The 27026-nt window shown below is 35.5% G+C and overlaps 1 protein-coding gene across 33 annotated transcripts in view; it reads left to right on the forward strand.

Annotated features, from left to right (window-relative positions):
- Positions 1 to 27026, forward strand: part of CCSER1 (coiled-coil serine rich protein 1) — a 1477902-nt gene that overhangs the window by 605616 nt on the left and 845260 nt on the right. The window lies entirely within an intron of this gene.

Raw genomic sequence — 27026 nt, forward strand, 5'->3', positions numbered from 1 at the left:
TCAATACACTAATTTCCCTTCTTTTGGGAATATATCTAGCAGTGGGATTGCTGGATCAAATGGTACATCTATTTTTAGTTTCGTGAGGAACCTCCAAGTTGTACTGCATAGTAATTGTACAAATTTACATTCCCACCAACATTGTATGAAGGTTCCCTTCTCTTCACATCCTCCAAAGCATTTGTTATTTTGCCTGCCTTTTGGATAAACATCATTTTAACAAGGATGAGATGATATCTCTTTGTAGTTTTGATTTGCATTTCTCTGATGATTAGTGATGTTGAGCACCTTTTGATATATGTGTTTCCCATTTGTATATATTCTTTAGATAAATGTCTATTCAGATGTTTTGGCCATTTTTAAATTGCATTGTTAATTTTTTGTCCTATAGAGTTGTTTGAGCTCCTTATATATTCTTATGTTAATCCCTTGTTCAGTGGGTGGTTTTCAAACATTTTCTCCCGTTCTGTGAGTTTCTCTTCACTTTATTGTTTCCTTTGTTGTGCAAAAGCTTTTTAACTTGATATGATCCCATCTATCCAATTTTGCTTTGGTTGACTGTGGTTTAGGGATATTAAGAAATCCTTGTCTACTCCATGGTCCTGGAGAGTTTCCCTAGTGTTTTCTTTTAGTAATTTGATAGTTACGTCTTATATTTAAGTCTCTAATCCATTTTGACTTGATATTTTGTATATGATCAGAGATAGGGGTCTAGTTTCATTCTTCTGCATATGGATATCTAGGTTTTCTGGCATCATTTATTAAAGAGATTTTCCTTTCCCCGATGCATGTCTAGGCACTTTTGTCAAAAATGAGTTTTCTGTATATGTATAGATTTGTTTCTGGGTTCTCTATTCTGTCCCATTGGTCTGTGTGTCTGTTTTTATGCTAGTACCCTGCTGTCTTGTGTACTATAGCTCTGTAATATGATTTCAAGTCAGGTAATGTGATTCCTCCAATTTTGTTCTTTTTGCTCAGGATAGCTTTGGCTATTCTGGGTCTTTTGTGATTCCAAATTTATAAATTTTAGGATTGTTTTTAATATTTTTGTGAAAAACGTCAATTTAATCTATAGATTGCTATTTTTATTTTTATTTTTATTAATTTAATTTAATTAATTAATTTATTTATTTTGAGATGGAATCTCGCTTTGTCGCCCAGGCTGGAGTGAAGTGGTGCAATCTCCGGTCACTGCAAGCTCTGCCTCCTGGGTTCTTGCCATTCTCCTGCCTCTGCCTCTCAAGTAGCTGGGACTACAGGCTCCCACCACCACGCCCGGCTAATTTTTTGTATTTTTAGTAGAGACGGGGTTTCACTGCGTTAGCCAGGATGGTCTCGATCTCCTGACCTCGTGATCTGCCCGCCTTGGCCTCCCTAATCTGTAGATTTCTTTGGATAGTATGGACATTTTAACAATATTGATTCTTCCAATTTATGAATCTAGAATATCTTTTCATTTTTGTATCCTCTTCAATTTATTTTATCAGTGTTTTATGGTTTTCATTGTAGAGAGCTTTCATTTATTTGGTTAACTCCTAGGTATTTATTTTTGTTTATAGCTATTGTAAATTGGATTACTTTCTTGATATTGCAATTTTCACAATTTTCAAATAGATTCCGTTGGGATATAGAAATGTTAATGATTTTTGTATGTTGATATTGTATCCTGCAACTTTACTGAATTTGTTTTTCAATTCTAATAATTTTTTTGGTGGAGTCTTTAGGTTTTTCCACATATAAGGTCATATGACCTGCAAACAAGTATAATGTGGTTTCTTCCTTTCCAGTTTGGATGGCTTTTATTTCTTTCCCTTTTCTGATTGCTCTAGCTAGGACTTCCAGCACTATATTGAATAACAGTGGTGAAAGGGCATCCTTGTTTTGTTCCAAATCTTAGACGAAAGACTTTCAGATTTTCCCCATTTAGCATAAGCTGTGGGTCTGTCATATATGGCTTATATGGCTTTTATTGTTTTGAGGTATGTTTCTTCTATACTCAGTTTTTTAGGGTTTTTATCATGAAAGAGTGTGGAATTTTATCAAATGCTTTTTCAGCATCTATTAAAATAATTATATGTTTATTGCCCTTCATTCTGTTGACATGGCATGTCATATTAATTGATTTTTGTATGTTAAACCAGGCTTGTATCTGTAGAATGAATTCTACCTGGTCATGACGAATGATCTTTTTAATGGGTTGTTGAATGCAGTTTGCTAGTGTGTTGTTGAGTATATTTGCATCAATGTTCATGAGGGATATTGTCCTGTAGTTTTCTGTTTTGGATGGGTCTTTGTTTAGTTTTGGTATCAAGGTAATATTGGCCTCATAGAATGACTTTGGAAGTATTTTCTCCTCTTCCACTTTTCAGAATAGCTTGAGGAGGATTGATACTAGTTCTTCAAATGTTTGCTAAAATTCAGCAGTGAAGCCACTGGGTCCTGGGCTTTTCTTTGCTTGGAGATGTTTTATTACAGCTTCAACTTCATTACTTATTATTGGTCTGTTCAGATTTTACATTTCTTCATGGTTCAGTCTTGATAGATTTTATGTGTCTCAAAATTTATCCATTTCTTCTACATTTTCTAATTTATTGGCACATAGTTGCTCATGGTAACTTTAAATTTATGTAGTATCAGTTATAATGTCTCCTTTTTCATCTCTGATTTTATTGGTATGGGCTTTCTCTCTGTTTTCTTAGTCTGGCTAAAGGTTTATTGATCTGTATTATTTATTTTACTAATTTTGGTTTTGATTGTTCTTTTCTAGTTCTTTAAAATGCATTGTTAGGTTGTTTATTTGAAGTGTTTCTACTTTTTTGAAATAGGTGCTTATAACTATAAATTTCCCTCTTAGAAATGCTTTCACTATAGCTCATAGGTTTGGGTATGTTGTGTTTTCATGTTCATTGGTTTCAAGCAATTTTTAAATTTTTTTCTTATTTTAATCATTGAGCCACTGATCACTCAGAAGCATATTGTTTAATTCCATGAATTTGTACAGTTTCCAAAATTCATTGTGTTGTTGATTTTTCATTTTATTCTATTGTGGTCAAAGAAGATAATTGATATAATCTCATTTAAACAAAATTGTAAGACTTGTTCTGTGGCCTAACATATGGTCTATCCTTGAGAGTTATTCATGTGCTGAGGAGAATAATGTGTATTCTGAAGCCTTTGGATGAAAAATGTTCTGTAAATATCTGTTAGGTCCATTTGGCCTGTTGTCCAGATTAAGTCCAATGTTTCTTTGTTGATTTTCTGTCTGGATGATCTGTCCAATGCTGAATGTGGGGTGTTGAAGTCCCCAAGTATTATTGTATTGGAGTCAATCTCTCTCTTTAGCTCTAATAATATTTACTTTATAAATCTGGGTGCTCTTGTGTTGGGTGTGTATATATTTACAATATTGTATCCTCTTGCTGAATTGACCTCTTTATCATTATATAATGACCTTCTTTGTGTCTTTCTATATTTTTTGTCTTGAAATCTACCTTTTCTGATATAAGTATAGCTAGTCCTGCTCTTGTTTCCATTTGCAAGGAATATCTTTTTCCATCCCTTTATTTTCAGTCTATATTTGTTTTTACAGGTGAAATGTGTTTCTTGTAGGAAACAGATTATTAGGTCATTTTTTTTATCCATTCAGCCACTCTATGACTTTCAATTGGAGAGTTTATTTCATTTACATTCAATGATATTATTAATAAGTAAGGACTTACTCCTACTTACTCCTATTTTGTTTTCTGGTTGTTTTTTCCTTCTTTCCTCCCTTGCTATTTTCTTTTGTGTGAAGGTAATTTTCTCTGGTGGTATGTTCTGATTTCTTGCTTTTTATTTTTCTTTATCTGCTGTGGGTTTTTTGATATGAGGTTATCATGAGATTTGCAAGTAACAACTTATAACCCATTTTTTTAAAAAATAGGTTTAAAATGCAATGACAACATGGATTGCATGAACAAACAAACAAGTACAGAGAAAACTATTAAAAACCCTACACTTTAACTTCATCCTCCAACTTTTTAACTTTTTACTGTTTGCATTTATATCTTATACTAACTATGTCTTGAAAAGTTGTTCTAGCTATTATTTTTGTTACATTCATCTTTTAGTTTTTCTACCCAAGTTATGAGTTTATGTACCATAGTTACGGTGTTATAATATTCTGTGGTTTTCTGTGTACTTACTATTGCCAGTGAGTTTTGTAACTTCAAGTGATTTCTTATTGCTCATTAACATCCTTTTCTTTCAGATTGAAGAATTCTCTTTCTTTAGCATTTCTTGTAGGACAGGTTTGGTGTTAACAAAATCCCTCGTCTTTTGTTTGACTGAGAACATCTTTATTTCTCCTTTATATATGAGGATATCTTTGCTGGATAAACTATTCTAGGATATAGGTTTTATTCCTTCAGCACTCTAAATATGTAATGCCATTATTTCCTGGCCTGTAAGGTTTCCACTGAAAAGGCTGCTGCCATATGAATAGGAGCTCCATTGTATGTTGTTCCTTTCTTCTTGCTGCTTTTTAGGATCCTTTCTTTATCCTTGTCCTTTTTTAGTTTAATTATTAAATGTCTTGAGATAGTCTTCTTTGGGTTAAACCTGCTTGGTGTTCTATAAATTTTAGGTACTTAAATATTTATATCTTTGTCTAGGTTTGGGAAGTACTATGTTATTGTCCATACCTTAATTTGTCTCTCTACTTCTTCTTTAAGGCCAATAATGCTTAGATTTGCCCCATTTAGACTATTTTCTAGATTTTGTAGGTGTGCTTCATTCTTTTTACTTTTTATCTCCCCTGACTATGTATTTTCAAATAGCCTGTCTTCAGGCTTATTACTTTTTTATTCTCCTTGATCAGTTCTTCTGAGACTCTGATCTGTTCTTCAGTATTTCAATTGTATTTTTCAGCTCTAGAATTTCTGCTTGATTCTTTTTAATTATTTCCATCTATTTGTTAAATTTATGTGATAGGTTCTGATTCCTTTCCCTTTGTTATCTTGAATTTCATTGAGTTTCCACAAAATAACTATTTTGAATTCTCTGTTTGAAAGATCACATATCTCTGTTTCTCTTCAGCATTGGCCACTGGAGCCATATTTAGTTTCTTTGGTGAGGTCATGTTTTCCTAGATGGTCTTGATGCTTGTGGATATTCATCAGGGTCTGGTGTCTGGGTATTGAAGAGTTAGGTATTTATTGTAGTCTTTGCAGTCTGGGCTTGTTTTTGAACCCATCCTTCTTAGGAAGGCTTTCCAGGTATTCAAAGGGACTTTGGTGCTGTGATCTAAGTCTTTGGTCACTGCAGCCATATCTGCATTAGAGGACACCCCAAGCTGAGTAATGCTGTCATCTTGCAGACTCATAGGGGTACTGCCTTGGTTCTTGGCTAGGGTCAGGCGAATTTTTTTTTGCTTTACCATACAGAGATTCTTGTTGTTTTCTCTTACTTTCCCCCAAACATAGTCTCTCCCACTATTTTGGGTTGTCAAGAGCTGGGGAAGTGTGATACAAGCACCCCTGTTGCCACCTCACTGGGACCAAGTTGCATTCAACCCAAAGCCAACACAGCACTGTGTCTTCCCAAGGCCCACTGTGACCTCCCAAGGCCCACTATGACCAATGCCTGGCTATCACCTGTGTTCACTCAAGACCAAAGGCTCTACAATCAGCATTTGGTGAATCCAGCCAGGCTTGTTTTCTTCCCTTCACGGCACTGAGTTTCTCTCTCCCTGTAGCCAACACTACCCCAGGCCTAGGGTGAGCAATGCCTGGCTGCTGTCGATGTTCACTCAAGGCCCTGTGCTCTTTCATCAGCTTATGGTGAATGCTCTTGTCCTGAGTCTCTCCTTTCAGAGAAGTGGGCTCCTGTCTGGCCCAGGGCAGGTCCAGAAATGCCATCCAGGAGCCAGTGCCTGGAATTCAGGACCCCAGGAGCTTGTTTGTTGCTCTTCCCCACTATGGTGGAACTGGTACAAGCTTCAGTAAAAAGTCCCATTTTTTCCTTCCTCTCTTCTTCTAAGCAGGAGACTCTACCCATAGCCACCACAGCTGTGAATGTGCTGGGTCACACCTGAAGCCAGCATAGCTCTGAGTCTCACTCAAGGCAAGTGGCAAGTACTGCCTGCCTGCTACTGCTCATTATTTAGAGCCCAAGGGCTGTTTAGTCAGCAGGTTATGCATCCTGCCAGGACTGGGTCCTTCCCTTTAGGGCAGTGGGTTCCCTTTGGCCCATGGTATATCTGGAGTTGTCATCCAGGAGCTAGGACCTGAAAGGGGGGCCTCAGGTCTCTGCCTGTTGCCCTATTCTATTGTGGCTGTTCCAATACCCAAGTTGGAAGACAAACTCCTCTTTACTTTCCCCCTCCTCTCCTTAAGCAGAGAGAAGTCTCTCCCAGAGCTGCAAGCTGTGCTACCTGGAGTTGGGGGAGGGGTGATGCAGAAACTCCCTTGGCTGCCCCAGCTTGTGTCTCATTGGGTCATGTGCATCTTAGCTTCATGGGCTCCAAGTTTAGCACCAGGACTTGCCCAGGAATTGCAGTCCTTGTGGGCTAGACTGCATTTCAAGTTTATTTAGTACCCCCAAGCTCTTTAGCCTGTGGTAGTGGGGCTTACTGGAATTCAGGTTCCAATTGCTGGGATGAGTAATTCACCTCTGGCTAGGGCTAATCTGAATGTTCCCTCCATGTCACCAACTGAGCTCTGCCCTGAGTCACTTTCCACTGTGACCAGGCAGCACTGTGTTCCAATGCTAAGTTCCACAATTAGTGCACTGTACCTCCTTGAAGCACACAGATTCTCTCTCCACGGCAGGTGGCTGACTACTGCTAGGAATAGGGGAAGGGTGGTGTAGGTAATTCAAAACTGTCTTTCTTATCCTCTTCAGTGCCTCTTTACTCGATATGATGTTAAAACCAGGTACTGTAATTACTTACATGAGTTTTGGTTCCTATGAAGGTGCTTTTTTGTGTGGACAGTTGTTCAATTTGTTGTTCCTGGTTGGGGGGAATGATTTCTGGAGGCTTCTATTCAGCCATATTGCTCCGCCTTCGTCACTATATCCCTCAATGCTATTTTAATTTCCGTTAAGTTTGGAAATTTCCATTAAATGTCACCATATTTAAATTAACTTCAAAGAATTATGTTTTTTAAAAGTATTTTACAAAATAATGGATAAAAACACTAAAAGTAAATTCTAAATTGAGATATCAACTACCAAACAAGACTTTATATATATGTTTATATATTATTATTTGGTGTCAATATTTTTTTCTCTTGGTTCAGTCAAGATAAATTTAGAATAAATAGTATACCTATTATTTGACTATTGCAGACAGCATTACTGATGGATGATGAATGCTCACATAGTAAGAAAAATGAGAATTATATCCTGGTAAGACAAATAAAATTATTTTTACATAAATTAAAGTCAAAATGAATTTTGCTTAATTTGTGTTAAAAGATATGCAATATCTCTTAGACATAGTAGACCTCTGGGAAAAATATTTCAAGAGGAAAACATTAGCAAATACTTTCATGTTGTCTATTAGCATCATATTGCTGTTCAAATTATTCTCACACACTGTCCAAATCATTTCAGAAAGGTTGGTACAAGATAAAGAACTTGTCAACATTAATACATACTAAAAATAATGGCATACCTCTTCTTCCTTCTACAGTTCACACATTCATTTTCTGTCTTAAATTTAAATTTCAATTAGTTTTTCATTTTTTCCAGGTTGGTGTCTTGGATTTCTCCTGTTTTGGGGTTCTTTAAGTAGTACTGATAGAAAATTTTCTTTGTAAAATGGCTTATTTTACCATGCCTTCAGATATTGGGTCATAGTCTGTTTTGCTTACTTTAATCAAAGGATTCATTTAAGAAATTTTGTGGACACCATTTTCTGAGCATCTATTAAAATATTATCTTGGACTATTGAATTTAAGGTTTCACTTTGTGTATCACTGAGTTAAACAGGGCCCTGGAAATCTGAAGGATATATACATTTGGATTGCTTTCCTTAATTGGCCAAAGTGAGGATTCTGTAGGATAAGCTTGAATACTGCGGTAGAGTTCAGGTACAGAACATGGGAAGAGTTCTGAATTAATTTGTATGTAAAGGATAGGTGTTGAACTACTGCTAGCAAAATTTTATAGCCAATAAAGGGCTTAATTATAAGGAAGGAAAAAAATATTTATATGTTTCTTCAAACAAAAAGAATTTTAAGAAACTGAGTCATTATAACCTCAATCTTGGTTTGAGAATCCACTTCAGAGTAGATTGGCATCACTGAAACATTTTTTCTGTCAAAAGATGCCAGGGCAGTTTTATTTGAAAACAGTTGAAACCAACATGTATTCAGTTGGATGGTGTTCTGTTCCTGAACACCTGTTGCTCTCAATAATTTGAAAAACCTTGGTGTGAGATAATAGCAGAGGTAACAATCACACCATCATTCTTGTGCACACCAATATTAAGGTTTTAAAATACGTGATATATACATCAGATACTGAATCTGGCTGGGAATTCACACTGTTATATTTTTGATATAATATCATTATCAATGATAATTTAAGCAACTGATCTCATGTATAGCACTTCAGTGTTTATTTCTTACTTAGTATTATCATTTCATATAAACTCCATTATACTCATTTTTATTGTTTTTTACATAATTTCAAATATTACTTCACAGTTTACCTATAAGTGTGAACACGTTTTTTAAAATAAGAAGTTAGTAACCCAGGTGAAATTCAAAGACTATGATTTACTACTAATGTGCTCATTTGAGATAGACCGTGAATATGAGAAGCTATCATATATGGATTCAGCATGAGTTCAGTTTATCTGGCAATAGTTCCATCTGTTGTATTTTGAAATTGCCTACTGTATTAGTTCATTCTCACACTGCTTTAAAGAACTACCTGAGACTGAGTAATTTATAAAGGAAATAGGTTTAATTGACTCATAGTTCCATAGACCATACAGGAGGCATGCCTAGATAGGCCTCAGGAAACTTAAAATCATGGCATAAGGGTGAAGGGGAAGCAAGTATGTCTTCAAATGGCAGAAGGAGAGGGAGACAGAGAGAGAGAGAGAGAGAAAAGGGGGAAGTGCTACACACTTCCGAGCAACCAGATTTTGAGAGAACTCTGTCACGAGAACAGCAGATGGAAGTCTGTCCCCATGATTGAATCACTCTCCCACCAGGCTCCTTCTCCAGCACTGGCAATTACAATTCAACATGAGATTTGGGTGGGGAAACAGAGCCAAACCATATCATCTACTTAAATAACCATTGAATTTTAGAGGTTGAATCATATCAATATGCATGCTATAGACTGAAGATTTATGTTCTCTGAAAATTCACCTTGAGATTTTTACCTCCAATGTGACAATATTAGGAAGTCGAGCCTATTACTATGATTAGGTCCTCAGTATAAAGCCCTTATGAATGTTATTAGTGCCCTTATAAAACAGGTCTCAGAAAATGCTCTCATCCCTTCCAACATGTGAGCACTCAGAGGGAAGATTGCTGTCTGTGAACCAGAAAGCCCTCACTAGCCCCTGAATCTGCTGACACCTTGATTTTGGACTTCCCAGCCTCTAGAATTGAAAAAAATAACTTTCAATTGTTTAGAAGCCACCCAGTTAATGGTACCATGTTGTATCAAATAAAATGTAATAAGGAATTAAATGCAATTAATTTTGCCATGCATGAAATTCTTTGGAAATGACTGTTTTCCTTGGTGACTCTATAGTGCTAAAATAATATTAGACTTAAGTGTTTTATAATGATATTGGGCTTATGTTGTTATTTTTTGTTTCGTAAAATGTGTAATTCAACTACTGTTTTTATTGTACCATGTGGATGCATTAAGTAGCCATGCTGACAGATGCAATAAAATGAGTAAAATAAACAAATATTTTGATTTTTTTAAGATATAAATTTAGCCTTTTTTTCACTGCAGTTTTCATACCACACATAAGTAATTTGGCAGATATTCTATTATTTATTGTTATTTCCTTAGGAAAAATTGGCATGTTGATGGCACAAATTAAAATTTGGATAATAATTAGGAGTAAATAAGATAATTCAATTTGGTCTTGCCTACAATAAAGATATTCTCAATAGCTTAGGAATATAATGAATACCACTTTAAAATGCATTCCAAAAGAAAGAAGGAAAGGTACAATGTGTTTTAGCAGAAACTTACTTGTGTCCCTTTGGTTAGTGGCTGATACATAGCACAGAAATTAGAAGGTAAACAATTGCCAGATGAAAGGATTAAATTATAACTAATAGCAAAAATTTTGAAGATAGATATAATTTGAATATTCTGAGAAACTGTTGATGTCAGATTCTCAGCTAAGGAAATTATCTGCTTTGAAGCTCTTCAGTTATATTATTAGCAGTCGGTTTATGTCTTTGTACATGAACACGTCTTCTTTTTCTCACATAGTTTATTTTACTTTAGTAAATCTGATGGGAAGCCTTATGTCAGAATATGTAACAAACATTGATTCTTGTAGGCTAAACTTATTTTATTAAAATTATGTTGCATATGCTTCTTATTAAGAATAAAGGTTTATTTAGACTAGTTAGGACCTGCTTAACAAGAAAGACTTCGGCAGCCACCTTTAAGCCTGAAGCTTTAAAAATGCTGAGCAAAATTGTCAAAGCATAATTAAGGGTAGGGGAATTAAGTTCACTTTTCTCCCCTAAGTGTCTTTGCCAGAGACAGAAACTTCAACAATAGAGCTAAGTGGAAAAATGGAGCCATGTCAGTTACCACACCATGCTAAAGACTGATTAGTCATAATTTTTGGTAATAATGCCCACAGGAATAAACCTGACAATGGTGTACTCTCTTGTTAGCATTAGCCCTTTTTTGTCCCCATTTTTCTTGCTCTTTCCCATGGGCCTGGTCACTTAGTGATATTAGTTTTAAAAGTTTCATTTCTCACCATTTCTGCTACTTTCTTGAATGTGGTGAGTCATGCAGAACAATTAACAAGCATTAATTGAGGTTCTCTTATGCATAAGATTTTATGTAAAGGTACTGGGGGCTGGGAATATTTTCTTATGACTATGGAAAGCTATGGGAATAGTGACACTGGTTGTATTTGCACACGGCCTGGAAAAGTGCAAAGTATTGGGAGTTGAGGAGAGACAAATGTCCTGAAATCTCAGCTGAAAGAGCAGAGGCCTTGTGCTAGACCCTGAGGGTACAGAAACTATACGTATTCGGTTATGTGTTGCCTGTATGATGAGGAAAAACTTAGACTCCATTTTACAGGAAGTAAGGTACCGGAAGTGGTCAAAAATTGAGCAAGTAATAAAATGCAAAATGAAGAATATTTTCTACTTCTTGAGTTTGAATTCCACAGAATGAGTTTTGGACTTTATTTGAAATTTGTCAATTGCTAGAATATCAAGAGGCACTGATCAAATAAAAATTATTTTAAAAATGAATACTTCTTATATAATACACTATTGTTGGATACCTATATCTGCATATGCTCTAACTAGGATGAAAATTACCTATATTCATATTAAAATAATAGACTTTACAGATGATCTAGACCAGGGGTCCACAACCATCAGGCCACAGACCAATAGGAACCAGTCACAAAGCAGGAGATGACCGATGGGCAAGCAGGCATTACCACCTGAGCTCTGCCTCCAGTCAGATCAGTGGAGACATTAGATTCTCATATGAGTGCAAACCCTATTGTGAACTGCACGTACAAGGGATCTAGGTTGTGTGATCCTATGAGAATCTAACCTAATGCCTAGTGATCTGAGGTGGAATAGTTTCATCCTGAAACAAGTCCCCTATCCATGGAAAAATTGTCTTCCATGAAACCAATTGTTGGTGCCAAAAAGGTTGGACTAGTGATCTAGACTATCGTAAATATGTACTAAAAATTCATACATTTTATATATATTATATATATATATGTACTGCTATATCTTAAAAAGTTATAGTTTATTAGTTTCATATTGCTGCTGTAACAAATGACCACAAACTCGGTGGCTTAAAACAGCACACATTTAGTATCTTAACAACTCTGGAAGTCAGAAGTCAGCAATGGGTCTCATGGAAAGAAAATCAATATGATGGCCTGGTCGAGTTCTTTCTGAAGGCTATAAGGGACAGTTTGTTTACTTACCTTTTGAACTTCTAGAAGCTGCCTGCATTACTGGGCTTTGTAGACCCCGTCTATCTTCAAAACCAGCAATGGCCTATCTCAAGTCTTCCTCATGCTGCATCTCTCTGATTCTGAGTCATCTTCTGTCTCCCATTTTTGACATTTAAGGAACTTTGTGATTCACTGGGTCCACCCAGATAGTCCAGGAAAATTCTATTACAAGGTTGGCTGATTAGTCACCTTAATTTCATCTGATTCTTTCATTCCCCTTTGCCATGGATATCTGTCGAATGGGGCGGGAAGCGTTATTCTGCCTGTCACAGTCAGTAATATCACACAAGTAAGATCAGGATTTTATTTCTTACCAAGTAACTTTTGTTCTGTCCATAAATATTGAGCTGCTTGTGTAAGTATTTGCAATGCACATTACTTTTCCCCCTCAGTGGTTGATTGTTATATTAATACAGAGAAAGGAATTTCCATTGTGCTGAATTACACAAGCTATTTCTTTTATCTTTTTTTTTTTTTTTTTTTTTTTTTTTTTGAGACGGAGTCTTGCTCTGCCACCCAGGCTGGAGTGCGGTGGCGTGATCTCGGCTCACTGCAAGCTCCGCCTCCTGGGCTCACGCCATTCTCCTGCCTCAGGCTCCCGAGTAGCTGGGACTACAGGCGCCCGCCACCACACCCAGCTAAATTTTTTTTAATTTTTTTTTTCTTTAGTAGAGACGGGGTTTCACCGTGTTAGCCAGGATGGCCTTGATCTCCTGACCTCGTGATCTGCCCGCCTCGGCCTCCCAAAGTGCTGGGGTTACAGGCGTGAGCCACCACGCCCGGCCTCTTTTATCTTTGGTATATGTTTCCAACTCCTATGCCTAGAAAACTTGTACTTTCCATTTAGTGCCCAATTCAATGCCATCTCCTCTACAAGAATTCCTCCCTGAAGCCTCAAAGTAGTTTAATCAAACTTCTAATATGGAACCATAAAATTATATTGTAATTATGTTTATTTACAATTTCTTCCAATAGATGCAAATGTTCTTAAAGGCAGATATATTTTATATTCTTTATATTCCCTATTTCAGTTCCTAGTATAGAACCAGTACATAGTATACTGTTAATAGATGAATGAGTAAATTGTTAAATGAATTAATGATGAAAAAAATTCACTTAAGACCTCTCATTTCCTCTCAAATATTTTATCCTATCTTACAGTAGTGATTTAATAAAATATCCATTTAATAAAATTAGCCATTGGGAACTTAAATAATACAACAAATCCTATCAAGCTATACACATAATATCAGCCTACCAAGTTTTCTATAACTTATCCTCTTTTTTCTCTACCAGTGTCAGCATAGCTCAGCCTATCCTAGGTCCGAATTCATTTTGAGACTCTAACTTGGTGTAGGGAATTCAGTGTCAGATTGTCTTTTTCTTTGTCAGGATCTTGTCCTCCATTCTAAAAACCTGGCTGCTGCCTTAGCTGGTATTTATCTGATAATCAGTGTCTGAGATAACTGCATTTCTGTTAACTGCCTATTTGGGTTTATAAATATTATCTTTTTCAAGATCTTCCATAACCAAGCACTGAAAGTTTTAGGTACTGAAAACTGTCTGTTTGCTTAGATTATTCATTCTTAATACACCAGACTATTGTCTTACTTTACAGATAAGGAATTTGAAGCTTAGAATAGTTAAGTATCCTGACTGCAGGTTGCAATGCTGGTAAATGACCAAAATGGCATTTCAACTCAGGTCCTAAAAATTCTGAAGACTTGTTTTAACTACTGTACTCTACTGTTTTAACTACTGTACTATTTTATTTTAAGCATTATTCTGACTATCCATTTGCTTGATATAACTGAGGAGTGGTAAAGATCAAAGTAGAGGAAGAGGCAGAGGTAGAGAGAAGAGAAAAGGAGGGTAAGGGAGGAGATGGGAGACAGAAAATAAAAAAAGAAAAGAAAAGAGAGAAAAACTATGAGAAAACATCCCACTATTAGGTTGGGCATGTATTGAGATCATAATCCTAACAAGGTTATGCATTTCTTTTATTAACAAACTTAATAATTTCGAGCCATCTTTGCAGTTCTAGAATGAAAGTTACCTGAAATAATGGTCAGTTTTCCTAGATGCAGGCAAAATAATTTGACTTAGTTTAAACAGAAAGGATTTTATTATAGAATATTTGATAGCTTACAAAATTTCTTGGAGGTCAGCAAATCAAAATTTCTTGGAAAGTCAGCAAACTATAGCAACAAAATACCAGACAAGATTTCTGCCTGGAGGGGATAAACTGCGGAGCTAGGCTGAGAGCAGAGAAAAAAAAAGAGAGGTGGAGGGGAAGGGATGGGGTTATGGAATTTTCAGTGTTTAGTATGCAGAGTTTAATTTAATCTACCTGTTTTCAGTAGGATATTCTCTTTCTCGGTTTTGCCTGATGTTTCTTCAATTTGGAGCTTATCTAATTTTCTTTTTTTTTTCTTTTTTTAAATTTTATTATTATACTTTAAGTTTTAGGGTACATATGCACGATGTGCAGGTTAGTTACATATGTATACATGTGACATGCTGGTGCGCTGCACCCAGTAACTCATCATCTAGCATTAGGTATATCTCCCAGTGCTATCCCTCCCCCCTCCCCCCACTCCACAACAGTCCCCAGAGTGTGATGTTCCCCTTCCTGTGTCCATGTGTTCTCATTGTTCAATTCCCACCTATGAGTGAGAATATGCCATGTTTGGTTTTTTGTTCTTGCAGTAGTTTACTGAGAATGATGATTTCCAATTTCATCCATGTACCTACAAAGACATGAACTCATCATTTTTTTATGGCTGCATAGTATTCCATGGTGTATATGTGCCACATTTTCTTCTTTTTTTTTTATTATACTTTAAGTTTTAGGGTACATGTGCACATTGTGCAGGTTAGTTACATATGTATACATGTGCCATGCTGGTGCGCTGCACCCACTAACTCGTCATCTAGCATTAGGTATATCTCCCGATGCTATCCCTCCCCCCTCCCCCCACCCCACAATAGTCCCCAGAGTGTGATATTCCCCTTCCTGTGTCCATGTGATCTCATTGTTCAATTCCCACCTATGAGTGAGAATATGCGGTGTTGGGTTTTTTGTTCTTGCAATAGTTTACTGAGAATGATGATTTCCAGTTTCATCCATGTCCCTACAAAGGACATGAACTCATCATTTTTTATGGCTGCATAGTATTCCATGGCGTATATGTGCCACATTTTCTTAATCCAGTCTATCATTGTTGGACATTTGGGTTGGTTCCAAGTCTTTGCTATTGTGAATAATGCCACAATAAACATACGTGTGCATGTGTCTTTATAGCAGCACGATTTATAGTCCTTTGGGTATATACCCAGTAATGGGATGGCTGAGTCAAATGGTATTTCCAGTTCTAGATCCCTGAGGAATCGCCACACTGACTTCCACAATGGTTGAACTAGTTTACAGTCCCACCAACAGTGTAAAAGTGTTCCTATTTCTCCACATCCTCTCCAGCACCTGTTGTTTCCTGACTTTTTAATGATTGCCATTCTAACTGGTGTGAGATGGTATCTCATTGTGGTTTTGATGTGCATTTCTCTGATGGCCAGTGATGATGAGCATTTTTTCATGTGTTTTTTGGCTGCATAAATGTCTTCTTTTGAGAAGTGTCTGTTCATGTCCTTTGCCCACTTTTTTATGGGGTTGTTTGTTTTTTTCTTGTAAATTTGTTTAAGTTAATTGTAGATTCTGGATATTAGCCCTTTGTCAGATGAGTAGGTTGCGAAAATTTTCTCCCATTTTGTAGGTTGCCTGTTCACTCTGATGGTAGTTTCTTTTGCTGTGCAGAAGCTCTTTAGTTTAATTAGATCCCATTTGTCAATTTTGGCTTTTGTTGCCGTTGCTTTTGGTGTTTTAGACATGAAGTCCTTGCGCATGCCTATGTCCTGAATGGTAATGCCTAGGTTTTCTTCTAGGGTTTTTATGGTTTTAGGTCTAACGTTTAAGTCTTTAATCCATCTTGAATTGATTTTTGTATAAGGTGTAAGGAAGGGATCCAGTTTCAGCTTTCTACATGTGGCTAGCCAGTTTTCCCAGCACCATTTATTAAATAGGAAATCCTTTCCCCATTGCTTGTTTTTCTCAGGTTTGTCAAAGATCAGATAGTTGTAGATATGCGGCGTTATTTCTGAGGGCTCTGTTCTGTTCCATTGATCTATATCTCTGTTTTGGTACCAGTACCATGCTGTTTTGGTTACTGTAGCCTTGTAGTATAGTCTGAAGTCAGGTAGCGTGATGCCTCTAGCTTTGTTCTTTTGGCTTAGGATTGACTTGGCTATGCGGGCTCTTTTTTGGTTCCATATGAACTTTAAAGTAGTTTTTTCCAATTCTGTGAACAAAGTCATTGGTAGCTTGATGGGGATGACATTGAATCTGTAAATTACCTTGGGCAGTATGGCCATTTTCACGATATTGATTCTTCCTACCCCACATTTTGTTAATCCAGTCTATCATTGTTGGACATTTGGGTTGGTTCCAAGTCTTTGCTATTGTGAATAGTGCCACAGTAAACATACGTGTGCATGTGTCTTTATAGCAGCATGATTTACAGTCCTTTGGGTATATACCCAGTAATGGGATGGCTGGGTCAAATGGTATTTCTAGTTCTAGATCCCTGAGGAATCGCCACACTGACTTCCACAATGGTTGAACTAGTTTACAGTCCCACCAACAGTGTAAAAGTGTTCCTATTTCTCGACATCCTCTCCAGCACCTGTTGTTTCCTGACTTTTTAATGATTGCCATTCTAACTGGTGTGAGATGATATCTCATTGTGGTGTTGATTTGTATTTCTCTGATGGCCAGTGATGGTGAGCATTTTTTCATGTGTTTTTTGGCTGCATAAATGTCTTCTTTTGAGAAGTGTCTGTTCATGTCCTTCGCCCACTTTTTGATGGGGTTGTTTGTTTTTTTCTTGTAAATTTGGTTGAGTTCGTTGTAGATTCTGGATATTAGCCCTTTGTCAGATGAGTAGGTTGCGAAAATTTTCTCCCATTTTGTGGGTTGCCTGTTCGCTCTGATGGTAGTTTCTTTTGCTGTGCAGAAGCTCTTTAGTTTAATTAGATCCCATTTGTCTTTCTGTAGAGAATAAACTCCTAGTCTGCTAGGGACGGAAGGAGAAGTTGCTTGGGTGCATGGAGTACTTTTAGCTAACCCTCTAGTTGCCAGCCCCATCTTTACTCCCACTTTGTTAGGTGCACAGCTTTTCTAAGGTCCCAGAGTAAATGTGGGGTTGTTTGAGGGCAAGGAGGTACACTGCTGGCTCAGGTTTCAGATTTCTTGAGACTATTTGCTTTCCAGTGTATGCGTTTATTTTTTCTTCAGCTGCTGCCAGCTCTCAAAGTGCTCAAATTTTACAGTGAACTTATCTTAAAATGCTCCTCTCTTTATACTTTCTGCCGATATAGAGATATTTAGTATTAATGTTCATTTTTAAAGAATTTTGAAGAACAATTCTATGCCAAAACCAAGCTGAATACTGTACACATGATCATAAAACATAGTAAACAGTATACATTCAATTTTATATGAATATTGGTAAATGGTGTCTGTATCTTTGTAGAAAGGACCAAATTGCAGTTAGCATTATGAATTTTCATTTAACTTTTTAATTTTCTTGTTACATAGACACTAGTCATTAAGTGTTTAAGAAGAGATCTGATTAAATAAATTGGAATTATCTTTTCTTTGAAATATATCTTAATTAAACCCTGTCTATTATGAAAATATCAGACCTTTATTAGTAATCATTTCTATATTATGCTGAAAATAACTTTTTTTAACTCTGCTTAATTTATTTCATGAAAAGATTTAACGAAAGGTTCAGTGAAGTTTTGCAAAAATTGGTGCATAAACTCAGATATGTAAAGATTCACATATTCTAAAATTTTCTCCTTCAGCCAAATATAAACTACACATATAAAAAAGTAAGACATTGCCATAAGCCCCATGGTTTAATAACATTGCTCCACAGTCTTATGAGTTTGTTTTAAAGCTTTAGTCAAAAAATACAGGATGAGATTTGTTAATATACACAAAATTTAGCTTTTCAATGTGTTCATGTTGAGTAATTAGGTTATGTGCTACATAAATTAATACATTTTTATGTGGTAAAAACAGCGTAAGTGGTAACAGCTGCCTCTAAAGTATCTTTGTTCTTATTCAGATTTAAATTACCTGTTGATTTGAGTAAGTAATTATAATTTTGTCCTAACACTGTGTAACATATGGTGTTTACATTCTTCTCAAGAGCTCCTTGAGGGAAAAAAAGTACACAGAAACATCAATATAAATAGTGATTTAAGAAACCAATGAAAAATATTTACAAAGATTAATTGTAGTTAATAGGATGTTAAATAGTTGTTAAAGCATTTGAATTTGTCTTATTGGATTATTGACTTATGATATTATTTTCTATTGTTTGCTTGGTGTTGACGTTGTTACATAACATATTCATTTTGAGAAATCTGTTTTCCAAATGGAAGTTTATTCTTTTATTATCATAGAATTCATTTTAAGCTATGTGTTCCTTTTTCTTAACAACAAAGCATTATTTTACATCTGTGTTTATATTTTAGACTTAGCATATAAGATATTGATAACCTAGCAGACTTTTTAAAAATTAAAAAGTATAGGATATAAGATTTGTTTTAAAACCTTTTAAGTTATAAGTCTATTAAAATTTCTAATATATTTAGGTATAATTTTAGAATGGACCATGTTCCAAATATTTGCTCAAAAAATTATTTGTTTAGAATGTTGTCCCTGCTAAGCCACAAAGTGCCCTTGAACATGTGGTTTATCTAAAAGGTAGCTATATTACAAGCTTTAATTTATTGAGCACTTCCAATGCGCTAGACACATTTTAATTTGTTTTACATATGCTTTTCTGAGGAAAACTTTACAGCGACTCCATGAGTTAAGCTAGGCATTTTCAACCTCATTTCCTATGAGGAGAAACAGACTCAAATACTTTAATACCTCTGATATGCCTCCAATAAATGGCAGAACCAAAATGATTTCAAAACTCATGCCTGTAAGTACTATGCTATGCTACTTCTCTAATAGAATATATATAGTTCTTTTACAATTGCAGGGAACCTTTCTGTTTGTGTGGAATAATTCATTACATATTTTGCCTTGGCATATAAGAAACACTGTATTTTGAATTCACAGGAGGGGAGTCTTTCTAGGTTACTTCCAAGGGCTTAGGTAATTTGGGCCTGAGTCATGTAATAACCTACATTTGAATCAGCTATGTAGGTAATATTTACAATTTTATTATTACAAATTTTGGTGCTCTAATTTTCAGTTTGTCATTTTCCAAATAGTGGGGGCAGTTTTCTTCCTGGGAGGTGAAAGCGTTCGAGTTTGATCTGGAGTGATGTGAACCAATGTGTAAATTTGTATTTCCCTTCATCTCACATCTTCCCCCTACAGCCTCTTCTCCAGATATACTCATTTCCTGGGTGATTTCATGCCATCTATTGACAGATGCCTTTCAATTATTTATCTCCATCTCAGGTTTCTCTAAGTTTCAGATTCATATATTCAATTGCCTACTCAGTATTTCCACATGGATGGCTACCAGGAATCTCCAAATTGATAAAAACCATTCAAAACATTTGATTCTCATCCCATAATACCTACTTTGCTATTTTAAGTTTATTTCTATCCAAGTCTCCAAATCCCTTTTCCAATCTCAATAAATATTTTCATTTACCATTTCATCATATAAAAATGAAAAATAATTTTTTCCTCAATTATAAGTTCTTAGTTGGACCAAAAGGCAGATTAACAAGAGAAACATAGTGTATTAACATGTGCACTGCACATGATGTGAGAGAAACCTCAACAAAGCAGTGGCTTAGAACTTCTGGCTTATATAGCATCTTCAACAAAGAACAGTAAATTTATAGAGAAATTACAGAACAGAGGAAAGAGGTTTTAGTTTTAGGAGAAAACTAATGGTGTAAGGATCCTTTGTAGATTCCCCTGTTGCCTCTCTAAGCTGATAAGCATCAGAATTGTCTCTGGTGAAGGAGAATGCATATCCTGCCTTTAGGCAGAAACAAACAGAAGGTATGGAGAGCTTTCCCCTCATTTGCTTCTCCTTTAATGTCCTTCAGGTAAAAATAAATTTTATGTCAAAGAGGCAATTTTGGGGTGACATTTTGGTTTCCTTCAGTTGCTCAAGCCAAAAATAAGAGAGAGAGAGGAAAAAGAATAGAAATTCATACTTGATTTTTCATACTCTTTCTCACACCCATTCTGTGAGCAATTCTGTGAGCTCTGTGTTGAGAATATATAAATATATTCCAAATCTGTCTGTTTCTTCCACGTACACTATTATCAGTATCATTTCTCACCTAGACTACTGCAGTGGTTTCTTTGTTCCCACTCTTGTCTCCCCTGTAATTCCATTTCCCACATGGGAGCCAGAGTGATCTTTTAAAAAAATAAATTGGATTGTGTCATTCCCTTGCTTAAAACACTCCAGTGCCTTCATATCAAACGCAAGATTAAAGTGAAACTGCTTTCTAAGGCCTTACATGTTCTACCCCATGGCAGCTTTTCCAATCTCATCTCTGATTTATCTTGCAAGTCTTTTCTAGATCTGGCAATGCTGGCCTTCATGTTGTTCCTCAAACATAGTAAGTTCTCTCCTTCATCAGGATAGTCATACTAATGTTTTCTTCCGTCTGTATCATCCTGTCTTCACATTACCATATAGCTCATTCTATCACTGTATTTAAGAATTTGAAATCATATCAGCTAATCAAAGGAGACTTCCCTAACTGCCCTTCTAAAATAGCTGCCATATTCAGGTTCATTTTCTGTTTTGTTTTTCTTCATGGCACTTATTATTTTTCATAGCACAAACCCCTTGTGACCTGACATTACATTGTATGCATGTGTTTAAAATCAGTTTTGCTCAGTAAAATGGAAGCTTAGCATGGGCAGGGACTTATTCATCAATGTATCTTTAGCTCATGCAGCAATGACTGGCACAGAAAACCTGTTTAATAAATATTTTTGCTAAAAAAATTATTTCATGTTGTATTTTATTTTAACATATACGTTTATGTATATATAATCTACTAATTTACCTGAGTGTGTATGTGTGAGCATATATATCTATGCAGAGAGGTGGGGATTTATTAGGAGTATATTAATAAAAATGAAAATATGCTATTCTGTGATGATACTCAGTTATCTGGTCAAAACATCCTTTGGTTGGTAATGGATTTATTCTGATCTAGTCCCTGTCTTCATCCAGTTTACACAGGTTGCATATAATTAGCCAGACAATTTTGTGTCATTCAAGATACAACCTGGTTCAGAAAAAAGAATCTTGAATTGTACCTTAATGCAACCCATTACAGTGAGGTTACAGTGTCACTCACCTCGGAAACAGTGTCCTCTTGTATATACCCATTTCTTCCCTTAACTACATCAAATCTTTTTTCTGACTTGAACATTTTGCTAGCATTTTTAGTACTTTGTTTTAGTAGAAATAGCATTCAGCTGCAAAAATAAGACAAAGAAAACAAAAACAGAAAATAACAGTATCTTAAACCCTATTGAATTTAATCTTACACATAAAACTTGGTCTGAAGGTAGGCAGTCTGGAGAGCATAGGGCTGCTCCTGGAAGTTGTCTGGGACCCTGAGTCCTATTAACATTCTGCTCCCCTTTCCTCATCTCCAGCTTCTGAATTAAAGACCCCATTATAATCTAATACAGCTATTGGAGTTCCTGCCATCACATCAGTGTTCCAGATAGTAGTTGGGAGGAAATGGGGAAGGAGAAAAAAACCATACTTGCTAGCTGAGTTAGCTTCATATAAGGAGCTACTCTGGAAACCCCACATAACACGTTTGCTTATGTCACACTGGCCAAACTTCACTGCAAATAAGCCTAGAAAATATAGTGTGTTAATTGGATACTTTGCTACTCCAAATAACATCAGGATGGTATAACTGAGGAACAAGAGGGGGTGCATATTGATAAACAAGTAAGAGTCAGTGCCAGATATATGTGTTTTTTGTGGAACTTATTCTACTGTTGCTATAGTTATTGGCATAAGTTTATTTTCCCATATTTCCATTACAGCTCCCACTCTCATACATCACATTATTCTCATCTCTCTGTACCTGCCATCCCATCTAGCAGTGTCTTTTAACCAATAGTTAGTCAGTAAATACTTGCTAAATTTGGATTTAAATGACTCAAACCCATTAGCTTGTTTCATTAGCACTTTATTCTGGCAGATGATAAAATGCTGAAGAAGCCTTGTCTCTTGTGTCCTCTGCACTTCTACAGATATTTTAAAAACAAGAAAAATGAACGTATTCTGCTTAATACTGTATTTTTAGATAACAAATGGACAAATTGCATACTTAACTTTGAATGAAAACCCAATTGAGTTATCAGTGGATTTGAAAGAGAAGTATTATCAATGCAAAACACTGTATACTGTGATTTGTATTAAATAAACAAAAACTTGAAACTTCTGAAGGAATTTGTGAATGAAAGGACATTAGTTACCTTATGAAGTTAAGCACAGGGAAATATCTAATGATCCTTGCTCCTTCAGCTAAATTATATGCAATAAGGAATTTACACTTCTAAAGTATATTTCCTGTTTTACTCAAAACATGTTTTCATTTTACCTAAAAACCTAGCTTTTAAAATGCATAAGAAGGCCAGCCACAGTCGCTCAGGCCTGTAATCCCAGCACTTTGGGAGGCCAAGAGGGGGTGGATCAGTTGAAGTCAGAAGTTTGAGACCAGCCTGGTGAACATGGTGAAACCTTTTCTGTACTAAAAATATAAAACGCTAGCCAGGCGTGGTGGCAGGCACCTGTAATCCCAGCTTCTCAGGAGGCTGAAGCAGGAGAATTGCTTGAATCCGGGAGACAGAGATTGCAGTGAGCTGAGATCGTTCTACTGCACTCCAGCCTGGGTGACAGAGCGAGACTCTGTCTCAAAAAAACAAATTAATAAGTAAAATAAAGCATGTAAGAAAACATTTAATAGAAAATTGTTTACTCTCTTTCCAAATTCTAAATATCATCTCTATGGTTTGTATAACTTTGTAGTAAGTTTCATAAACATAACTTTCCTCTCCATATTCAACTCTTAATGCAAAAATAATACAAACAACTTTTCAACATTTTTAGGAATGTTTCTTGAGGAATCATTCCTAAAAATCAAAATAGCCTATTTAAGTTTTTAAATTGAAGTTAGCCAGTAAGAAAGTCTTTCTTCGGTGTCTTAGTTTCTAAGCTCACTATAGATTTGTGTTTTATGACAATATATAATATGTCTGATTATTACTGACAGCCTTGTGTCATATGCCAAATAGCCTCTAATTTTAATTTTGATATATTTGTGACACACACCTATCAATTCTCTTACAATTTTTTAGAAGACTTGGCAAGATATAAAAATTATATTCCTAGTTCTTGTTATGACAAATTGTGAATTACCAGGAGACAAGAACCGTATACATATACTTTACTGCATCTTCTAAAATATCTAGCTAAGTGCCTTGCATATTTTAGATTTTTATTAAGTACTTATTGAACAAAGTATTTCTTAAGTTTCATGAAGTACTTCTTGAAAGTATAGCAGAATGTTAGGTTAAAATAATGAGATAAGGAACACAGAGGAGGCTTATGTGTACTTTATTCCACTGATATGAATATATTAAACTAAAAATAAATTTATGAAAACTTAGATTTAACCTAGATTAGAACTTTAATTAATTTGGAAGTAACTTTTCTTTGCTCCCTCATCATAAAAAATTATTTTCCTTTATATAAGAACATTTATCATGGTTTCTTTTTATTTGTCTCACTTTTGAAATGGAATTGGATAAGAGATTCGCAAATGACAAAGTTAGAACAAATTCAGTTTAGAGATCTTCATTGGCTTTTGTTTATGATTCTGGAATGAGGCAAAACCCCATTCTATAAAATAGAGTAGGTGTTCCAATTAGCTGAGAAAAGGAGTTTGGTTGTATAGACAGCAAAGGGAAAGCAGAAACAGAAACCAAAAAGCAGATTGGCTGTTTCAAAGTTACTGTCCTTTTAAAGGTTAAAGCAGATGGAACTCCCGTATCATTCAGGTTAAAACTGGCTTGCTTGGGATTTGGCTATTATATCTCTCAATCTTCTGATTTATAAGGTCAGATAAACAACTTAATTTCAGGTTGGTGTCATGGAACTTTAGCATGAGTGACTTCATTTTGGTTTGGTCTATTGGGCCTTGTACAGGAGCTTAGTCCAAAGCAATGGCCTCCTATAAAGTTTATTTAACAAGGTAATGAGACCCTGGTTCTACGTAGTGCTCCAGAATCATGGGCACTTAATCCATTCAACCAAGGAAGCAGACAAGTGCCAGAAATGGCTGAAGAGTCCACATCAAGTTCCTAATCAGGGAGCTAGCTGCAAGGTAGAATCCAGGAACAAACAAGAGACTAGCTGCTGGTGCTTCAAACTCAGTTTTAACAGTAGGGAAGTAAGCCAAGGAGCACATCAAAGAGACTGTGGAGTTTTTTTCTTTTAAATCTCAATATTTACTTTTACATTTAAATGTGATTTAATGGATGATGTAAAAATGTAAAGTAGGCAAAGCTCAAAGTGGGGACTGAAGACAACCAGCTGTACAATAGTCCTTGTTTCCTTTTCTTTTTTTTTTTTTTTTTCTTTTGAGATGGAGTTTCACTCTTGTTGCCCAGGCTGGAGTGCAATGGTGCAATCTTTGCTCAACTCAACCTCCACCTCCCAAGTTCAAGCGATTCTCCTGCCTCAGCCTCCCGAGTAGCTGGGATTTTAGGCATGCGCCACCACACCTGGCTAACTTTGTATTTTTAGTAGAGACTGGGTTTCTCCACGTTGGCCAGGCTGGGCTCGAACCCTGACCCCAGGTGATCCGCCTGCGTCGGCCTCCCAAAGTGCTGGGATTACAGGTGTGTAGTCCTTGTTTCTTACATCAAGAACCAGACCCTATGCTCCTATTAAGAAGAAAATAACTGAATTATATTTTTGTATTAAAAATAATAGAGATGTGAAATTAATGTGTGTCTTTTATCTTTGATATTGCTAATGGGGGAAATAACAGTAATTTAAAACAGTTTTTTTGAATAAAAAACTTAAGACATATATTTGGGGAAAAATAAAATGTTTATGATTCAATATATATAAATATCCAAATACATAAATACATGATAGGTGATCATTTCTTTGGGAAAAAAAGACAAGCAGATTAAATTTCTTAAATATAATTCAGATAGCAGTTTTGAAATTTACTGTTCATCTCATACTTAATTTTATTATTTCTGAAATAAGAAATTAGTGTTACTATGATGCCAAATCAGGTGTTATTTTTAAGTGTTTTTTCCAACATGCACTCAATGATGTTATATAATTATGTTCAGATCAACAGATATATACCCAGTCCCTCTAACCATAGGCTATTGTGTGTGATTCTGCAAAGAATGATAAAATGAGAAAGATATAGCTACTGTTCTTGAGGATATTAAAATATAGTATGTTGAATAGAAAAATAACACAAAAATAGTGTAGTAGGATGGTTAAAATAGCAAACTGACAGAAGTTTGTATATCTCATGGTGATGGCTAAAGGGGATAATCTGTCTAAGGGGAGAAGGGATTTAATAATATTTCATGCTATTGTATTTGAATTTTTCCCATTCTGTTATGTTCTTTTAGTAACACCCTATACACTCCTTCCAGTCTGTTTTCTCTAAACCTCCCTTTTGTCTTCTTACTGGAACATCTTGCACCTCCTTCTAAGCCATCCATATGACCTTTAGTCATCCTAAATTCGAAGATCCATTATTAAATTCTCTTAGCCGTATTTCTAGACACCAACGCTTCCTCCCAAGTAGTAGATATCTTTCTTTTATGTTAATCCTCTGTAACCCTCCAAATAAGCTCAATTATGACACAGCATTGGAATGATTTCTTATGTGTTTCTCTAATAGACTGTAATTAATCTGAAGGCAAGAATGACGTTTTATTTATCTCTGAATCTGATTTTTCAATAAATCTCACCAAATGGAGAGGATAACTAGAAAATTGAGTTCTTTAAAGATATTGGGAATAGGACAAAATGCTACCTCAGTAAAAGTGACTTAATTTTATAAATAAAACGGGATTAAGAAGGAGATGAAATAGTCTCAGAAGCAAAATAGTCAGAACCAGAATTGTGCTGGTAAACATTTAATAGTAAATCTTTGCAAAGGAAACAAACAAACAAAATGATTTGTAGACTTTGTAAATTTCTATGTTGTTATTGTTGCACCATGGCCAATTTCAAGCTACCAAGTCGTGTCTCTGAACTTGGAGTTGGGAAAAGATGAGCCCAATCAGCTCTTGTAAGCTAGTGCAAGGCAACTCCAGTGAAGAACTCACGAAGAACTAGAAAATTGTTTGTCCCTTGTAGTATCCCACTGTGGTTTTCACGATCTGATACTGAAATATGTATACACAAAATTGATTTAATTCTTTCTGATAATTTCTTTCGTCTTCACCACATATATACCACAGAGATGTACTTTTTAAAAATGACCAAATCAAGAGCAAAATTATTAATTTCAAAAAATTTACAAAATGTTAGAATTTGACTTACAGAAAATTGTATACATATAGTTAAAACAGCTGTATAAAACTACTTAATATGAATATTTTCTTTAAAATTATTACATTTTAATATTGTAAAATATTATAAATGAAGTATAAATATTTCACTAAGAAGCTTTATGGATT

Source organism: Homo sapiens, chromosome 4 (assembly GCF_000001405.40).
Source record: "Homo sapiens chromosome 4, GRCh38.p14 Primary Assembly".
NCBI lineage: Eukaryota > Metazoa > Chordata > Mammalia > Primates > Hominidae > Homo > Homo sapiens.